We start from the raw sequence: 18,016 nt of genomic DNA, 5'->3' as shown, positions 1-18,016 counted from the left end.
GAGATAGGCACAAAGATCTCTTGGGAGCAGCTACTTTTCCATATGGACTGGGCAGGGCACGCGAGTGAAGTATGAAGTTCAACTGGAATGTCATTGGGAACAGCCAAGGCCGAGAACTATGGAATAGTTTTGAGCCAGGGGAGATATGATCAGGGCTGTGCTGCAGAGAAAGTGGCTGCAGCAGGGAGCAGTGTGGAGGGCAGGGGGAAGAGATAAGAAGAGAGAGGTGAAGAGTTGGAAACCAGTAAGAAGGACACTTCAGAATGTGACATGAGTGAGAGAGTGGGTTTGGGCTCCTCTGTGGTAAACCTCATTTTGAAACTGGTTTCACTCGCTACCCCTGCAATTTAGGCTTTAAAATAAGACTGTCTTTGGACTTTAGTTTTCTCACCTGTGAAAGGAGAGGGTCGATGCTGGCTCAAGTCGGCCATCTCTGATGGTCTGTGATTCTAAGCATCTTATTTGTCATCTGCTACAAATCCAATTCTGGATGGCTGAGGTCACTTCTCATCCTTAAAATTTGCTAACATGAATTTGGTGTTGTTTGGTGCTGTTTGCAATTGGAAATCCCACTGATATGGCCATGATTTGGGGCAGGATTGGGAAGATGAAATCATTGAGTTGGAGTTTATTCCAATTTGCCTTATTTAAAACTTATTTCAGTTATACCAACTTTTCAAGCATGGCTGAAAAGAGAAAATATATCTTGCTGGGTTTACAAACTCGGGGGACAGGAAGTAGGTTTCCAACTCTGAACATGTGGTAGGTTACTTAGGTTACTTCTTGTAAACACAAGGATTTTACATCAGGGGCAGAGGCCAGATTTCATGACTATAACTGGAAATCTTAGGAAACAGATGAATCATATAACCCATCACTTCAACTGGAAAGCAAATGTATCCTACTATTAGAGTTTATCTCGAAATGCTTTGGGAAATCTCAGGGGGCTGGAGGAACCCTCAGCTCAAGCCATTTGTGGGATGTGTTGGTCCGGCATAGACTCCAGCCAAAAGACCAAATATTGCCTTTTGTTGTTTCCTGGAGGGAAGGATATGGACAACAATGATCTGGCCGTGGGGAAGATTCAAGGGAATAAAAATGAATCATCACCAGCCACCAGGAAGCACCAGGAGCTCTCTAAATGGAATGGAGGCCTCCCATACCTTGGGTGGGTGAGGTAAAACAATAGCTGATGAGGGAGACAGAGGCGGAGATAGGAACACTCAGCTTTACTGAGACTGGCAACCATGGTGAAGGAACTAACCAAAAGAAATATGAGCTTGCTGCTGCCCCGAATTTCAAAAGAAATCACTTCGGGGCTGGTTTCCTGTAGTGTCCCTTAGGGAGGTCATTTTTTTTTTTTCTGAGCCACCCCTGGTGATTTCCTCATCAGCTGCCCCAGCTCTAGTATCCACCATGAGCAATGTCATCTGCATAATAATGTGGAGAATGTAACCAACTATTCACTCCATGTCCAAAAGGGCTCTGTGAACTATGAGGCTACAAAGAGCCTCCAACCAGAAGACTGGAGTGCTAATTGCTGCCCTAGGAAGGAGGGTGGAGGGACATCTGCCCTCCAGTTCAGGTCCTCAGCTGCGGCTTTGGGGGAATTTTAGACACACCCTGCTAGTTGCTGGACCCTGGGACATAGGATTTGAGCTGGATTCTTTCTTGTCTTCTTGTGCTTTTTAAATAATGTAATTAATTAATTACCTTTTTAAAGCATCCTTATATCTCTCCATTTATTTTTGTCTTCTTTAGTGTTTCTAAATAAAGTCTTTTTTTAACCTTTAAAAATTAAGGATATTTTCAAACATACAAAAATTAGAGGATAGTATGATGAACCCACACCACCTAACTTCGATATCTGACCAAGTTTGTTTCACTTATGTCCCTTCCAGTTTTTTTCTAGATATGTAAAAACACATTCGAAGTATCATGTCATCTGTAAAGTCTTCAAAATATATTGCTAGCAGATAAGGAGTTTTAACAAATAACAGTACTACTATTATATGTAACAAAACTAGTAATTTTTTCACCTCACGTAATGCCCAGTGATCCACTTTCTCTTGTTGTCTAAAATGTCTTTTTTGAAGTTGGCTTGAGTTGGAAACCAAGTAAGATCTATACAAAATACACGTTAGTTCCTCTCTTCTTTTCATGCTATTCATTCGTAGAAGAAATCAGATAATAGGTTCTGTAGAATTTCGAGCTTTGGCTTATTGCATTCTTGTGGTGTTTTCCCAAGGAGCCCTTGTGTCCAGATGGTGGTCTTTCAATAACATTTCCCAATTTTTTATGATTACAGGGTTTTTGCTTATTTGATTTTATATTTGTATCTTGTTGTTCCTATGCTGAAAAGCTCAGTCTCTATATTAACATAATTACTTGTCAACTTTAGCTTACAACACATATATAGCTTAAAAATAATAGGCAATAAGACTACTGAACCTAGGTTAAGAGTTCTCTGCAATAATTCCATGGAGATAATATCTTCTTTTACATCCCTAAAGATATTTACTATAGTTCCTTTCTGCATTGATGTTTTCCTTTATTTTCTTTATCATTTCTGTTTCACTTTTCAGGCATTGATAAACCTTGGCTGTTGCTTCAAATATAAATGATTCTAGAACATCAGAATAACTAGTAACAGTAAGATTACTCAAATAAGCAAATAAAATCAAAGAAGGTAAGTAAAAATTTTATAATCTAACGTTTGAATTGGACATATCACTATAAACTCATTTTATCTTTTAAAATAAATTTTAAAATGCATATTTCATTGCTCTGTCCCTTGAAAAAGTCTAAAAGGAATGACAACTCAGCAGTAATTAACACAATAAGCATCCAGATTGTGGTTTTTAAATCCTATTGTGTCCAGAATTGGTGGGTTCTTGGTCTCACTGACTTCAAGAATGAAGCCGCAGACGCTCGCGGTGAGTGTTACAGCTCTTAAGGTGGCGCCTCTGGAGTTTGTTCCTTCTGATGTTCGGATGTGTTCAGAGTTTCTTACTTCTGGTGGGTTCGTGGTCTCGCTGGCTCAGGAGTGAAGCTGCAGACCTTCGAGGTGACTGTTACAGCTCTTAAGACAGCGCGTCTGGAGTTGTTCGCTCCTCCCGGTGGGCTCATGGTCTCGCTGGCTTCAGGAATGAAGCTGCAGACCTTTGTGGTGAGTGTTACAGCTTGTAAAAGCAGCGTGGACCCAAAGAGTGAGCGGTAGCAAGATTTATTGCAAAGAGCGAAAGAACAAAGCTTCCACATTGTGGAGAAGGACCTGAGCGGGTTGCCACTGCTGCCTCCGGCAGCCTGCTTTTATTCTCTTATCTGGCCCCACCCACATCCTGCTGATTGGTAGAGCCGAGTGGTCTGTTTTGACAGGGCGCTGATTGGTGCGTTTACAATCCCTGAGCTAGACACAAAGGTTCTCCACGTCCCCTCTCGATTAGCTACATAGAGTGTGGACACAAAGGTTCTCCAAGGCCCCACCAGAGTAGCTAGATACAGAGTGTCCATTGGTGCATTCACAAACCCTGAGCTAGACACAGGGTGCTGATTGGTGTGTTTACAAACCTTGAGCTAGATACAGAGTGCCTATTGGTGCATTTACAATCCCTGAGCCAGACATAAAGGTTCTCCACGTCCCCACCAGACTCAGGAGCCCAGCTGGCTTCACCCAGTGGATCCCGCACCAGGGCTGCAGGTGGAGCTGCCTGCCAGTCCCGGTGCCCTGCGCCTGCACTCCTCAGCCCTTGGGTGGTCGATGGGACTGGGCGCCCTGGAGCAGGGGGTGGCGCTTGTCAGGGAGGCTCGGCCGCACAGGAGCCCATGGAGGGGGTGGGAGGCTCAGGCATGGCGGGCTGCAGGTCCCGGAGCCCTGTCCTGCGGGAAGACAGCTAAGGCCCAGTGAGAAATCGAGCGCAGCGCCGGTGGGCTGGCACTGCTGGGGGACCCAGTACACCCTCTGCAGCTGCTGGCCTGGGTGCTAAGCCCCTCATTGCTCGGGGCCGGCAGGACCGGCCAGCTGCTCGGAGTGCGGGGCCCGCCAAGCCCACGCCCACCTGGAACTCCAGCTGGCCCGCAAGCGCCGCGCACAGCCCCGGTTCCCGCTCCGTGCCTCTCCCTCCACACCTCCCTACAAGGTGAGGGAGCTGGCTCCGGCCTTGGCTAGCCCAGAAAGGGGCTCCCATAGTGCAGCGGTGGGCTGAAGGGCTCCTCAAGTGCCGCCAAAGTGGAAGCCCAGGCAGAGGAGGCGCCGAGAAGGAGCGAGGCCTGTGAGGACTGCTAGCACGCTGTCACCTCTCACTATTCCCAACTAACAGGAACTAGAGCTCTTTAGAAAAATGCTTGATTCCAAGTCTAGGGCAAAAATTAAAAGGTGAGTCTGGGACATTGTTTTGTGTCAAAGAAGAAACAAGAAAGCCTTTCAAAACAAATGGGGCTGTAGTTATCCAATGGGTTCTTCCTGCCTGCTGCAGAGACAAAACCCATTCACTGAGACCACAGTATTGCAGTAAAGAAGGAGTTTAATTAATACGAGGCCGGCCACGTAGAAGAACTGGAATTATTCAAGTCAGTCTCCTGAAGGCTTGGAGGTTAGAGTTTTTCAAGGAGAGTTTGGTGGGCAGGAGGCTAGGGAATGGGAAATGTTGATTAGTTGGGGATGCAGTCATAGGAGCCTGGAAAAATGGTCCTTATGTGCTGAGTCAGCCTCTGGATGGGGGCCACAGGACCATTTCAGTCACGAGTCATGGTCTGGGTAGAGTCAGTTGGTTGCCATAAATGTAAAAGTCTAAAAACATCTCAAAAGGCCAGTCTTAGGTTCTACGATAGTGATGTTATCTACAGGAATAATTGGAGAAGTTACACATATTGTGACCTCTGGAACAATGGCTGGTTGTTGTTTAACTATGCCTGTATCTTAACCAGAATTCAGGCCCTTCTCATAATCCTAATCTTGTGGTCTTCCGTTATTTTTACAAAGGTGGTTTAATTTTGGGAGTGGCTATTATCATCCTTGCTTTAAGGTTAAACTGTAAACTAAAATCCTCCCAAAGTTAGCTTGACCTATGCCCAGCAATGACAGCTTGGAGGTTAGAAGCAAGATGGAGTCAGCTATGCCAGCTTTCTCTTACTGTCATAACTTTGTAAAGGCAGTTTTAGGGTCATATCAGAAAGACACAAGAACTGCCATTAAGGGGCTCCCACTGGCCAAAAATGGGATAATTTGTGTGTGAGAAAGAATTAAAATACATCAGATATCTAAAAATTCATGAGTATTTAATGACTTAAAATTCCTCCTTGGTCATCTTTGGAGGCTGCTAAAATTACTCAAAAATGTATTGAAAAGGGAAATATAAAGGATTTATTCTGCCTTTCTTGTATGTACTATATTTAAGGGTAACCACATTGTTGATGAGGGGAAGCTCTTTATAGGATAATTCCAATGAATAAATGCAGAAGAAATGATAGAATTAGAAAATCATCATTTTGCAATCCCTATAAAATGAATCCAGGCAACAATTATGAGTCGCTTTTAACCCGTTTGCTAATACAGGTTAAAAGTTGACAAAGAACTTCATAATGGAAATATTAGGCTTCTCTCATCAAAACCCAATCACCAATCTTGGTATCATTAAAAGTACAACTGGACCATATAATGATGTTGTGCAGTAGAAAAAACATACCACCACTTAGAAGTATTTTTGCCTAAAAATCTTATCAAGTCAGTAGGTTTAACTACCAGTTTAAAGAAAACAAAAGAAATAGAACAATTTAAACAAGACTATGAAGATGCAATAAACCAAATCCTGAATGAGATATTCTACAAACCAAACAATCCAGTTTCTCCAAAAAATAATTGCATATAAAAAGAGGGATAAATTTTTAGAGAATAAAAGATACTTAAGAGATGGAATAACTGATGTCTAGACCTTGTGTGGATCCTGATTTAAACAAACCTACTATAAAATACATCTTTGAGATAGAGAAATTTGCACATAGACTTAGTATTCAATTATATAAAGAAGTTATTATAAGTTGTATTACTGTCATAATGGCACGATTGCCAGTTTTTAAAAAGTTCGTATTGGTAAAAGATGAATACATATTGATGTATTTACTGGTGAGTTGATATGATGTCCAGGATTTGCTTTAAAATACTCCAGGAAAAAAAAATAGGAAGAGGAGAGGTAAAAAAGAAAGAATAGCTGTTTTTTTAAGTGGCAGACTGCTGATTAATTGTTGAAATGGGGTAACAGGTGCATGTGAGTTCCTTGTACTATTCTTTCTAAGTTTGAAAATGTCTATGTTTTTCAAAATAAATCATAAAGGTTTTCAAAAATAGAGAAAATAGTAAATTCCTTGTGAATAATTAAAAATCTAAATTATTTCTAAATAATAATAATTTAAAAACAATGGAAAAAATAAATCTTAGTAATCATAGGGTATGGCAAAAAAGGAAACTGAATATTCAAAACAAATGAAAAGAGAAAAATTATCTCATGAAGTAACCATCTTTTCTATAGGATGATTTATCTTTATATTGTCACTACCAATTATCTAGAACCCAGGAACCCTCTCTTCCAGGTGACTCTGGTAGTACACAGACAAATTCCAATTTTTTTGGACTTTTTAAAGATGTTCCTTCTGTTTATATTTGTAATGTCATCACCACTTAATCCATGCCATTATGAAATTGCCCCATGATTAACATGATTTGTGGATTTCAGTTTGTTTAATATGGCTACATATTAGGTTTCTTTTTCTTGATGTCACTAAAGGAGGCACCCAAATTGTGTTTGCATCACAGTGTTGGTTGGGGTACAAATCATTCCTTCCAAGCTGGGCTGTTTCCTCTCCATTGGTGGATCCTGGTTTTGTCACTCCATCCCTGACAGCAAATTAGGGACCCATTTTTCGCTCAAGCCTATTACTTATTAGAGTGACCCCTCATCTACTTACTACAGTGACTATCAGCAGAAATGAATTTTTTAGTTTCTGAAAATGAGCCCATTTCACAACATAGCTAACAACTAGCCTGATTCAAGAATTCCAACTCTCCCAGTACAGACTTCTCCTTCTCTTCAGAGGCAAACGCTGGGGGTTGGGGCAGGGCGGGAACAACTGAGCCTTGTGCTCTGCCCTCAAGGTCAACAGATTGAATGTGGCCTTGTGTGTGTTGTGAATGTACAGTACATGACATCATGCATATTCAGTGGGCTTTTCCAACCGCCAGTCTCACTAATGATTAAAATTTCTTTTTAGAAAGGCACCCTTCTTTGGCTTTTGAGATTATTTGACTATCTTGGTACTCTTACCTCCTTTTCTGTCTTAGCCATGATTCTTCTTCATCCTGACTTGCCCCTTTTTCTCTCTCCTCCCCTTTCTCTTCCTCTCCTGCTCTCTCCTCTGCTTGCCTTTTCTCTCTTTTCCTTTCCCCTCCCCATGCCTGTCCTCCTCTACCTTTTCCTTCCTCTCCTCAATCTTCCTTCCTCTCTTTTTTCCTTTCCATTTTCCATACATTAAACCAATAGAGATACCTGACCTCAACTATCAATTTTAAGTGGATAAATTTAAACCTATACCACTTTACTCCAGTGCCAATTCTATACCTTCCATGGACTGTGAAATATTTATACTCATATATCCCATTATTAAATCCAAAGTATTAGGTTGGTGCAAAAGCAATTGCGGTTTCTGCCATTGAAAGAAATGGCAATTTCTTTAATTAATTTGCATCAACCTAATAAAACTTATCTCCCGAAAAGATTCCCCTCCCTTTTCTTTGACTTTGTAGATGACTTCCGTTCTCCAGACTTGGAGCCGTGTAGTCATCTCTTATTCTTTCCTTAACCGCTCTTTTGAGCTAGGCAATGAATTCTATCCCTTCAACCTTTAAACCACATCCTAGCCCATTCCTCCCTCCATTTTTGCCAGTACCACGGTGGTCTGGGCCCTTGTCATGTGAATTATAATAATGGGCCCCTTCATGCTTCTGCCCTCTATACATTTTTCTTCTTGGGTCTCCTGGGCCCATGTTCAGCCTAGATGATTCTCACTTGAACACTGCTTAACTTGCCTTGATACACTTAAAACCTGTGAATACCTAACTAAACCTCCTCTGCAGGAACCTATATCCTCAGGCTGGCATTTGAAACTTTTCTTTTTTGTTTGTTTGTTTGTTTGTTTTTTCAGTTCGAACTCATTTCCCTTTTATTAAAGTCCAAGTTATCATTACATGGTTTGGTACTCAGTAAAGGAAAACTTGTTCAAATAAGGTAATATATTATCATCAGTATTTCCAGGTGACTGTTTACACTTAAGTAGCAATATCAATAAATCCTTGGGAAGCTCATCCATGGGGTTTACACTTTGTCAAGGCCCAGTTCCTCCGGAGTGGAGATTCCCAGTTCATTTAAAGTTGGTCTGAGTTCCTGGATGACATAGGGGCAGATTTCCCTATGAGGTCCTGCTTTGTCCTTAACAGCCTCTAGGATGCCAACTGCACTAGCAAAATCATATAACTGTCTGAATGCCCACAAAGCAGCATCAGTGATTTGGGCTCTGGAACCAGATCATAGCCAACAAGTGTGTTCACCCCTTTACACAATTCCCAAGCATCTATATCTGGCTTGTAGAAGTATGTTACCCGGAGAGCATCAAATTCCTCATCTGTCTCATGTGACCCATGGGAATAGCAGCGAACTGACTGGATAGCCACGGCCGGGCGGGGGTCACAGCTGGGTGCAGAAGGCCTCGAGGGCCAGAGAGCTGTGCCTAGTAAGATCGCAGGCTGAGGCTAGAGAGAGGCCTGGCGTGAGCTCGCGGGCTGCTCCGGAGCTGGCGGGTTGAAACTTTTCTTAATCACTTCCAACTGATCTGTCCAAATTTCTCTCCATTCAGGAGGGTTTCTTCCTGACTCTGTATATATAATTTTCATTTCCTGTCCAAACTTCTTGTGCTTTCATTCCCTGTTAGGATGCCACTCTGCCTTCTTCCCACCCTATCTATGACCTTTCCATTCTCCAAGTCCATATGAAAGCCCTCTTCCTCCAGAAGGGATTTATGGATGAAACGACTTAGATGTCTGGTTTTGCTTTAAAGTAATCTGGTGGGCAATGGAAAAGAGTGTGAGAGCTATAAATGAGACAACCTCAGCGATGTGTTGATGTGTTAGATATATGGGGGCTCATTATCCTATTATCTCTACTTTGGTATTTGCTTGAACTCTTCCATAATAAAAAGTTATTTTTAATGAAAGAAAAGAAGCTATGAGTGTGGCTATGAAACCTGATGCTCTATACCAGCAGGACTCATCAGAGCTGGGGAGGATCCCAGCAGAATGGCAAGTTGGTCTTAGGATGGGTGGGAAAGAGGAGGCTGCTGGCCAAGTAATTTCCTATAAAATGAACTCCACAAGGGTGAGGATTTGCCTCCATTCTGTTTATTGCTGCACCCAGAATATGGAGTATTCCTGGCCCTCCATAGTATTTATTGAGTGAATTTATTGAGTGAATAGATGAATCTACAAATCGAGGTAGGTCTGAGAATAGCCTGCAAATCCATTCTGTGGGAGAAGAGGGAAATGACCATGTTTCTACTGGGCTCTAAATTTGCTCAATGTGCCACAAAAGTATCGATAAAGGCATCAGATAGCTCATCAATTCCAAAGGTCATCATGGTGTGCATCCCTTGCTTTACGGGTGGATAAGGCAGAGAACAAAGAAGTCTCTGCCTTCTGGGGCCTATACACTGGTGGAGATGCAGACAAGAAAACCCATTGTTAAATCCTATTGTCTGAGAGATAAATGCAGGGTGAGATACTTAGTGCCATGGGAGTACAGAAGAGGCTTCCCCAACTCTGGAAGCACAGCTGAAACCTGTTGGCTTCGTGAAAAGTGGGGGGAGATCCATTCAAAGCAGAGAAAACAGCTTGGAGAGGAACAAATGGAAGAGTTTGCTATGGGTGGGTTATTGAACAAAGGGGAGGGGGTGGGGTGGTTGTTGAAGCATCAAGAGATAAGACTAGACAAAAAGGCAGGAGCCAGATGCTACAGGGTCTTGTAGGTCATTTTAAGGAATGTGACTCTATTCACAGAGCTGCAGGAGGATGTTTAAAGTTTTGGAGCAGCTGGAGTGATCTTTGCATTTTAGAAAGATCTCTCTGGCTAAAGGGTGAAGAATAGATGGGTGGGTGAGAGGAGCGGAGCCTGGAGACAGCAAGAAGAGTTAGAAAGCAGTTGCAGTGGTTCTAGAGAGATGAGGGGAAATTGACCTGTGAATAGAATGGGATACAGAAATTTTAGGATGGATAATAAGGTCCTTTTTCAAATCAGGAAATGAAGAAATGAAATAGATATCTATTTGTATGGGTCTTACTCTAAGTTAAGTTCTTTTTCCCAAATAGATTTTATTTGGGAAAATAAAGAAATGTCTTTAAAGTCCTTCTACTATATAGGGAGTGCCCGACTTAGGGAAGGATGCAGTGTGGAAAAGGGAAAAGAATGGCGGCCTGAGAATGAGGAAACCAGGATTCAGCCTTGAAGTGCTGTTCTGATTGCTCCACTAACTTTGTATTATTATCCATGAGTTCTTCCATGGCTTTAGTTCATTGTCTCCATTCATGGAGGTTGATTTTCTCTAATACTTCATGTTTCTTGATTATGGGCTCATCTTTGTGGTTGAGATTTCCTGTTAGACTCTTCCCATCTGTTTGCATGGTCTTTTTGGGAGAGACAAGAATTGCCCTTGTGATTTGCATTCTGACTTGCTTTCAGGAAGAGGAAGGACAGGATGTGTCACCTGGCAAGGCCATTTAGTGGTTGCTCTGTTGGGTGTTGGTACTCCCCACTCCTTCCTAAGGTCACTGGCCACCTGTTACCCTGTCTCTGATCTAGTGTGGCCTGGAGGCAGACTCCCCATCATTGCTGCCTGGTGGCTGCTGCTTTCACATCTACACCCTGTCTGTTGCCTCAGACCCCTTTCTGCTCCAAGTGTATACAGCCTCCAGGCATAGCCTACCTTTCTTATTGATCTTCTATAAGTTTGGACTATAGATTTCCTTTCCAGGCCAACCTTCTTGGGTGCAGTGGCTTACGCCTGTAATCCCAACACTTTGGGAGGCTAAGGCAGGCTGTCACTTGAGCCAGGAGTTTGAGACCAGCCTGGGCAACATGGTAAAACCCCATCGCTACAAAAAATTAGCTGGGCATTGGTAGCACTCGCTTGTGGTCCCAGCTACTTGGGAGGCTGAGGTGGGAGGATCATCTGAGCCCAGGGAGGTTGAGGCTGCAGTGAGCTGTAACAGCACTACTGCACTCCAGCCTGGGTGACAGACCAAGACTCTGTCAAAAAAAAAAAAAGAAAAAGAGAGAGAGAGAAAGAAAGGAAGGAAGGAAGGAAGGAAGGAAGGAAGGAAGGAAGGAAAGAGAAAGAAAGAAAAAAAAAGGCTGGGCGCTGTGGCTTAAGCCTGTAATCCGGGCAGATCAGTTGAGGTCAGGAGTCCAAGACCAGCCTGGCCAACATGGTGAAACCCCGTCTCTACTGAAAATACAAAAATTACCTGGGCATGGTGACACATGCCTGTAGTCCCAGCTACCTGGGAGGCTGAGGCAGGAGAATCACTTGAACCTGGGAGGTGGAGGTTGCAGTGAACTGAGATCATACCACTGCACTCCAGCCTGGGCGACAGAGTGAGACTCTGTCTCAAACAACAACAAACAACAACAACAAAACAAACAAAAGCAACCTCTTTAACTTTTATTCCTTAAATTATTGGTAGCCAAATTCTTAATCTAGTTTTTAAGCACAACTATTTCTAGAAATTTGGAGGAAACTACAGCTTGTACATGGTCTACCATTTTGAAACAAAAGTCTCAGTTCTGGCTAGACCAGCCAGATATCTCAGAAACCAACCCTCTGATGGCCATTGGGATTAGTGTTTATTCACCATCTTTGCTGTAAGCAACATAAAAAGAGGGTGTGCAAAGTTTGGAAGGAAGGACAATTTATTTTCTTAAAGCTGATTTCTTGTTAATGCCTGAGTGGGAAGTAAGAAGTTTACATCCAAATGAGTATAGTTTTGGTCATTGGGAAATGGGTCAATAAAACACACTCAATGTCAAAAAAGTATCTCTAGTTGCATTTTGGAATTTGGAATTATATAATCCCACAAATGACTACATTTCAGGCTCCTGGGTTTGGCAGGGCTGCTCCTCTAGGCTGCGAAGCAGTTTGGTTCCAGGCAGCTAGAGGATTGAAGGGCACCTGAGCTCAATCCAAGTGAGGAGGAGAAACGCTTGAGAAGGAGGTAGCCAGGTACATGGCACGATTAAGGCCACAGCTGGGCAGAGGGCAGTCCTCCAGGGCAAGCCCCAGCCTGAGGGGCTGTCATCAGTGCAGAGAGAATTTGGAGGGCTCCGGGATTCTCCTTGGGCCTTGGTGGTGAAATGGAATGTGGGCTTTGATCCTTTGGGGAGGGGCAGGCTCTGTTGAGAGAGATTCCAATGAGAGAATCTCTAGAGAGGGGAAAAAAGGGTTAGTCCTGTACAATTAAAAACTCTTTTTTTCCCCTCTTTTCTTTTCTTTCCTTCTTTCTCTTCTTTTCTTCTTTCTTTCTCTTTCTTTCTTTCTTTCCTTTCTCTCTTTCTTTCCTTTCTTTCTCCTTCCTTCCTTCCTTCCTTCCTTCTTCCTTTCTTCCTTTCTCTCTCTCTCTTTTTCTTTCTTCCTTCCTTTCTTTCTTCTTTTTTTTTTTTGATGGAGTTTTACTCTTGTTGCCCAGGCTGGAGTGCAATGGCACGATCTTGGCTCACCACAACCTCTACCCACTCCAGGTTCAAGCAATTCTCCTGCCCCAGCCTCCTGAGTAGCTGGGACTATAGGCGTGTGCCACCACGCCTGGCTAATTTTGTATTTTTAGTAGAGATGGGGTTTCTCCATGTTGGTCAGGCTGGTCTCGAACTGACCTCAGGTGATCCTCCCGCCTCAGCCTCCCAAAGTACTGGGATTACAGGCGTGAGCCACCACGCGCAGCTCTTTCTTTCTTTCTTTCTTTCTTTCTTTCTTTCTTTCTTTCTTTCTTTCTTTTCTTTTCTTTCTTTTTCTTTTGGATAAATTTGTCAATCTATTCAGGTTCATTGTAAATAGGGATTAATGATTTAAGAAATCATTGCTTTGTTTCCCTTCAAGAAGCTGTATAAAAAGATTCAGGACCACTTAGTCATTTTTAAATGTGTATGGTCTACACAAGTGTGGGTAATTGGGCATGAAGAGATTAATTATGGTGCTTAAACAATGTATTCACCTTGTCATATGTTTTTGTAAAATTTGTAAAAGTAAAACCAGGATCCCTTTCTATACTGACTTCCCCTCCATCAGCATCCATCCATATCATGTGGCATTTAGTGGCCCAGGGAATTTTGGGATGTGGCTAAAGGGATTTTAAATTAAGGATATATTCAGTTTGGGTTTAGTATATTTATGATATAATAAAAAATACAGTCATGAATTGATTAATGAGGATATGATGTTCTCAGAAATGCATCAGTAGGCAATTTCTTCATTGTATGAACATTATACAGTGGTGTACTTTACAAACCTAGATGGTATAGTCTATTGCTCCTAGGCTACAAACCTGTACAGCATGTTACCATATTGAATACTCCAGGTGACTGTAACATAATGGTAAGTATTTGTGTATGTAAACATATCCAAACAGAAAAGGTACAGTAAAAAATGTGGTATAACAGATAAAAAATGATACATCTTGATAGGGCACTTACCATGAATGGGGCTTGCAGGACTAGAAGTTGCTCTGGGTGAGTCAGTGAGTGAGTGGTGAGTGAGTGTGAAGGCCTAGGGCATTACTGTACACCACTGTAGACTTTCTAAACACTGTACACATAGGCTACACTAAATTAATAAAATAATACTTTTCTTTCTTCAACAATAAATTAACCTTTGCTTACTGTAACTTTTCCACATTATAATTCTTTTAATTTTTAAAACTTTATGAGCCTTTGTAATAACACTTAGCTTAAAAGACACATTGTATAGTTGTATGAAAATATTTTCTTTCTTTATGTCCTTATTCTATGTGCTTTTTTTGTACTTTTTTTTAACTTTTTAAACTTTTTTGTTAAAAACTAAGACATCAACACATGTTAGCCTAGGCCTACGAATGGTCAGGAGCATCAAAACCACTGTTTTTTGCCTCCACATCTTGTCCAACTGGAAAATCTTTAGGGTCAATACATGCTTGAAATTGTCATTTCCTCTGGTAATAATACTTTCTCTGGAATACCTTGGAAGGACCTGCTTGTTTTACAGTTAACTTGTTTTTAAACAAATAGAAGGAGTACACTGTAAAGTTATGATAAAGAGTACAGTACAGCAAGTACAGAAAATAATATCTGTACAGTACAGCAAGTACAGAAAATAAAAATGAAAATTATTATCATTATCAAGTATTACGTACTATACGTGATGGCATGTGCTATACTTTCGCATGACTGGCAATGCAGTAGGTTAGTTTACACCAGGATCACCACACCCATGTGAGTAATGCATTGCTCTATGACATTATGATGGCTATGACGTCAATAGGAATTTTCCAGCTTCATTACAATCTTTTTTTTTTTTTTTTTTTTTTTTTTTCTGAGAGTCTTGCTCTGCTGCCCAAGCTGGAGTGCAGTGGTATGATCTGGGCTCACTGCAAACTCCACCTCCTGGGTTCAAGCAATTCTCCTGCCTCAGCCTCCCAAGTAGCTGGAATTGCAAGCATGTGCCACCAAGCCTAACTAATTTTTGTATTTTTAGTAGAGATGGGGATTCACCATGTTGGCCATGGTTGGTCAGGCTGGTCTCAAACTCCTGACCTCAATTGATCTGCCTGCCTCAGCCTCCCAAAGTGCTGGGATTACAGGCGTGAGACACTGCACCCAGCTAGCTTCATTATAATCTTATGGAACCACTGTTGCGAATGCAGTCCTTCCTAGACTGATATGTTGTTATGCAGCACATGACTGTATATATTTGCTTTCAGCTCCTGGTTCCTGGCACACAGCTCCTAACACCATTGGAATCTCTGGAGTGAAAAGAGTGTCTTTTGTAAGTGAATGAGATGACTGAAGGTCGGGGGCCTGTAGATAGCCCCTTCTCCTATACCTCGACCTATACATCTCTTCCATGTTTCTTTCATCTGTATGCTTTGTAACATTCTTTATAATAAACAAGTAAGTGTAAGTGCTTCCTGAGTTCTGTGAGCTGCTCTAGCAAATCAGTTGAACCTGAAGAAGGGGTCTTGGGAACCCCTGATTTACGGCTGGTCGGTCAGAAGCACAGGTAAAACAACTGGGGGCTTGCAGCTGGCATCTGAGGTGAGGGGAAGCCTTGTGGAACTTAGCGCTTGGCATGTGGGATCTGATACTCTCTCTAGGTAGATAGCATCAGAGTGGAACTGAGAGAGGACACCCCGCTGCTGTCTGCTGGAGAACTGATTGGTGTGTGGAATCTGGTTTTAGAAGTATTATATTGAGTGGTATGTGAAAGTAGGAAACACACTTCATTTTTTTTCCATCTTTATAATATTTACATAGTTTTCCGGCACTTCTGGGTATAGCTATTTCTAGCTATTTGAATGTAGGAAATGCTTCCAAGAATGCCTCTCACTTTTTAAAAAAATTGAGAGATAACTCACATACCATAAAATTGACCTTTAAAGTATACAGTCCAGTGGTTTTAGTATATTCACAAGATTGTGCAACTATCACAACTAATTCTAGAACATTGTCATTACCCCCTACAAAGAATTCCATTAGTAGTCACTGCCCATTCTTCCTTCCCCCACTGCCAGCTTCTCCATTTTAATCTACTCCTATTTTTTTGTCTCTATGGATGTGCCTATCCTGGACTTTTCATATAAATAGAACCAGCCAGGTGTAGTGGCTCATGCCTGTAATCCCAGCACTTTGGGAGGCTGAGACAGGCAGATCACACAAGGCCAGGAGTTCGAGACCAGCTTGGGCAACATGGTGAAACCCCGTCTCCACTAAAAATGCCAAAATTAGCCAGGTGTGGGTGGTGCACGTCTGTAATCCCAGCTACTCGGGAGGCTGAAGCATGAGAATTGCTTGAACCCAGGAGGTGGATGTTGTAGTGAACCCAGATTGTGCCGTTGCACTCCAGCCTGCGTGACAGAGCAAGACCTTCTGTGTCTGGCTTCTTTCTGTTAGCACATTTGCAAGATTCATTTATGTTATACCATGAGTCAATACTTTATTCCTTTTTATGGTTGAATAATATTCCATTTCATTTCTCCATTCATCAGTTGATGGACACTTGGGTTGCTTCCAGAAATATTCTCTCTGACCAACGTGTTAACTAACCCAATGAGAAGGTCTAGGGCCAGAGGGAGTATCATACTATGAACAAGGTCCAGGATGCCTGATGTTAGAAGTGTGAGGGTTGTGGAGAAAGAACAAGTTTGAAATACCCGGAGTCAGAAGCTGCCATGATGCAGGAATGACTAAATCTATCTTTTCTCTCTATAGAAAATGAAATTGCAAAATTGTTGTTAAGTGAAGAGATTATCAAAATATTTACAGTTCCCAAATGTAGAAAACATGGAGGTGTCAGATAGTTAAGATATCTTGTTTTTCTGAGTTTCGATATATTTTTAGTAATTATCAGTTTTTTCAAAATGTGTAACTTATGGTTTATCTTCCTTTATTTATTTATTTATTGTTATTATTCTTTAGAGATGGAGTCTCGCTCTGTCACCCAAGCTGGAGTGCAGTGGCGTGATCTCTGCTCACTGCAAGCTCTACCTCCCAGGTTCACACCATTCCCTTGCCTCAACCTCCTGAGTAGCTGGGACTACAGACACCCGCCACCACGCCCAGCTAATTTTTTTGTATTTTTAATAGAGACAGGGTTTTACCGTGTTAGCCAGGATGGTCTCAATCTCCTGACCTTGTGATCCACCCACCTTGGCCTCCCAAAGTGCTGGGATTACAGGCGTGAGCCACTGCGCCCGGCCCTATCTTCCTAATCTTAATCTAACTTATATTTGTAATTTTGCATTACTTTTCTTTAAGAATGCACCCCAAATCAAGTATATAAAAGCCCCTCAAAACCAGGATCCACCTTGCTTTCAGGGAAGTTTGAACCCACTTTCCTTGTGGTCAGAGGCACTTAGATACTGTGTGAGGGACTTCCTCTTTGGGAATTACATGGCAAGCTGGTCATTTCATTGCTTTCCATCCCTTTGTTGTAAACCATTTTCTTTCTCAGCTTAGAGCACTTTCAGGAGAAACTGGCTCATGCAACACCTTCATTAAATGTGCAATATCTTGCAGCATTGCTATGGTTGGTTGAATATTGTTCAGCAAAAACTCCCTCTCTCTACTCCCCTTTCCTTCATAGTAGAGACTACTTCCTTATCCTTCTGACACTGGGCTTGGCCATGCATCTCACTTTGGCCAGTGGAAACTAGACAGAGAAGACATGTTGACAGTTTTGAGCGCTCTTCAGGGTCTTCCCTTGTCTACCCTATTGGGAACTCATGCTCCAGTAGCTGGTGGTCCTTTATTGTGAGTCCTGGAAGAAGATACGCAGGACAGACCTAGATCTTGAATCCAATATTCAGCATAAAGAGGAGACACTGCTGCTGGCCTGCAGACCTTGAGTAAGAAATAATTATTTGTTATTCTGAGCCACCAAGACCTGGGGGTTGTCTTAAACCCAGTAGAATTGTAGCAGGAGCTGACTACTACAGTTATACATTCCTAACCTGAACAGCAGAGCTAATATCACTTACCTCCCAGGAGGCAGCTAAGCTTGGACCCAAAGCTCAAACTTCCAAGATGTCTGACAGCAGCTCCCAATACAGCACCTTCCCAGGTTCCCACTTTAGCATGCTTCCACCTTACAAGGAATACTGTGTCTAGGAAAAGGTGCTGTCTCCTTCCCTCCCTCCTTCAGCCATAATTATAAATGCAAGGTAGTTCATGGTTTCCAC

At 42.2% G+C, this 18,016-nt stretch overlaps 1 long non-coding RNA gene and 1 pseudogene across 1 annotated transcript; one reads left to right on the top strand and one right to left on the bottom strand.

The window, feature by feature from the left end:
• Positions 1 to 864: 864 nt before the first annotated feature.
• On the top strand, positions 865 to 15,243 carry LINC02319 (long intergenic non-protein coding RNA 2319). The gene is made up of 3 exons (NR_187197.1): positions 865 to 1,168; positions 2,586 to 2,689; positions 15,041 to 15,243. It is a non-coding gene; the product is annotated as a long intergenic non-protein coding RNA 2319 (long non-coding RNA).
• COX5AP2 (cytochrome c oxidase subunit 5A pseudogene 2) lies at positions 8,188 to 8,761 on the bottom strand (annotated as a pseudogene).
• Positions 15,244 to 18,016: the final 2,773 nt, after the last annotated feature.

This window comes from Homo sapiens, chromosome 14 (assembly GCF_000001405.40).
Source record: "Homo sapiens chromosome 14, GRCh38.p14 Primary Assembly".
Classification (NCBI taxonomy): domain Eukaryota; kingdom Metazoa; phylum Chordata; class Mammalia; order Primates; family Hominidae; genus Homo; species Homo sapiens.
This window is presented reverse-complemented; position numbering and strand designations above follow the sequence as displayed.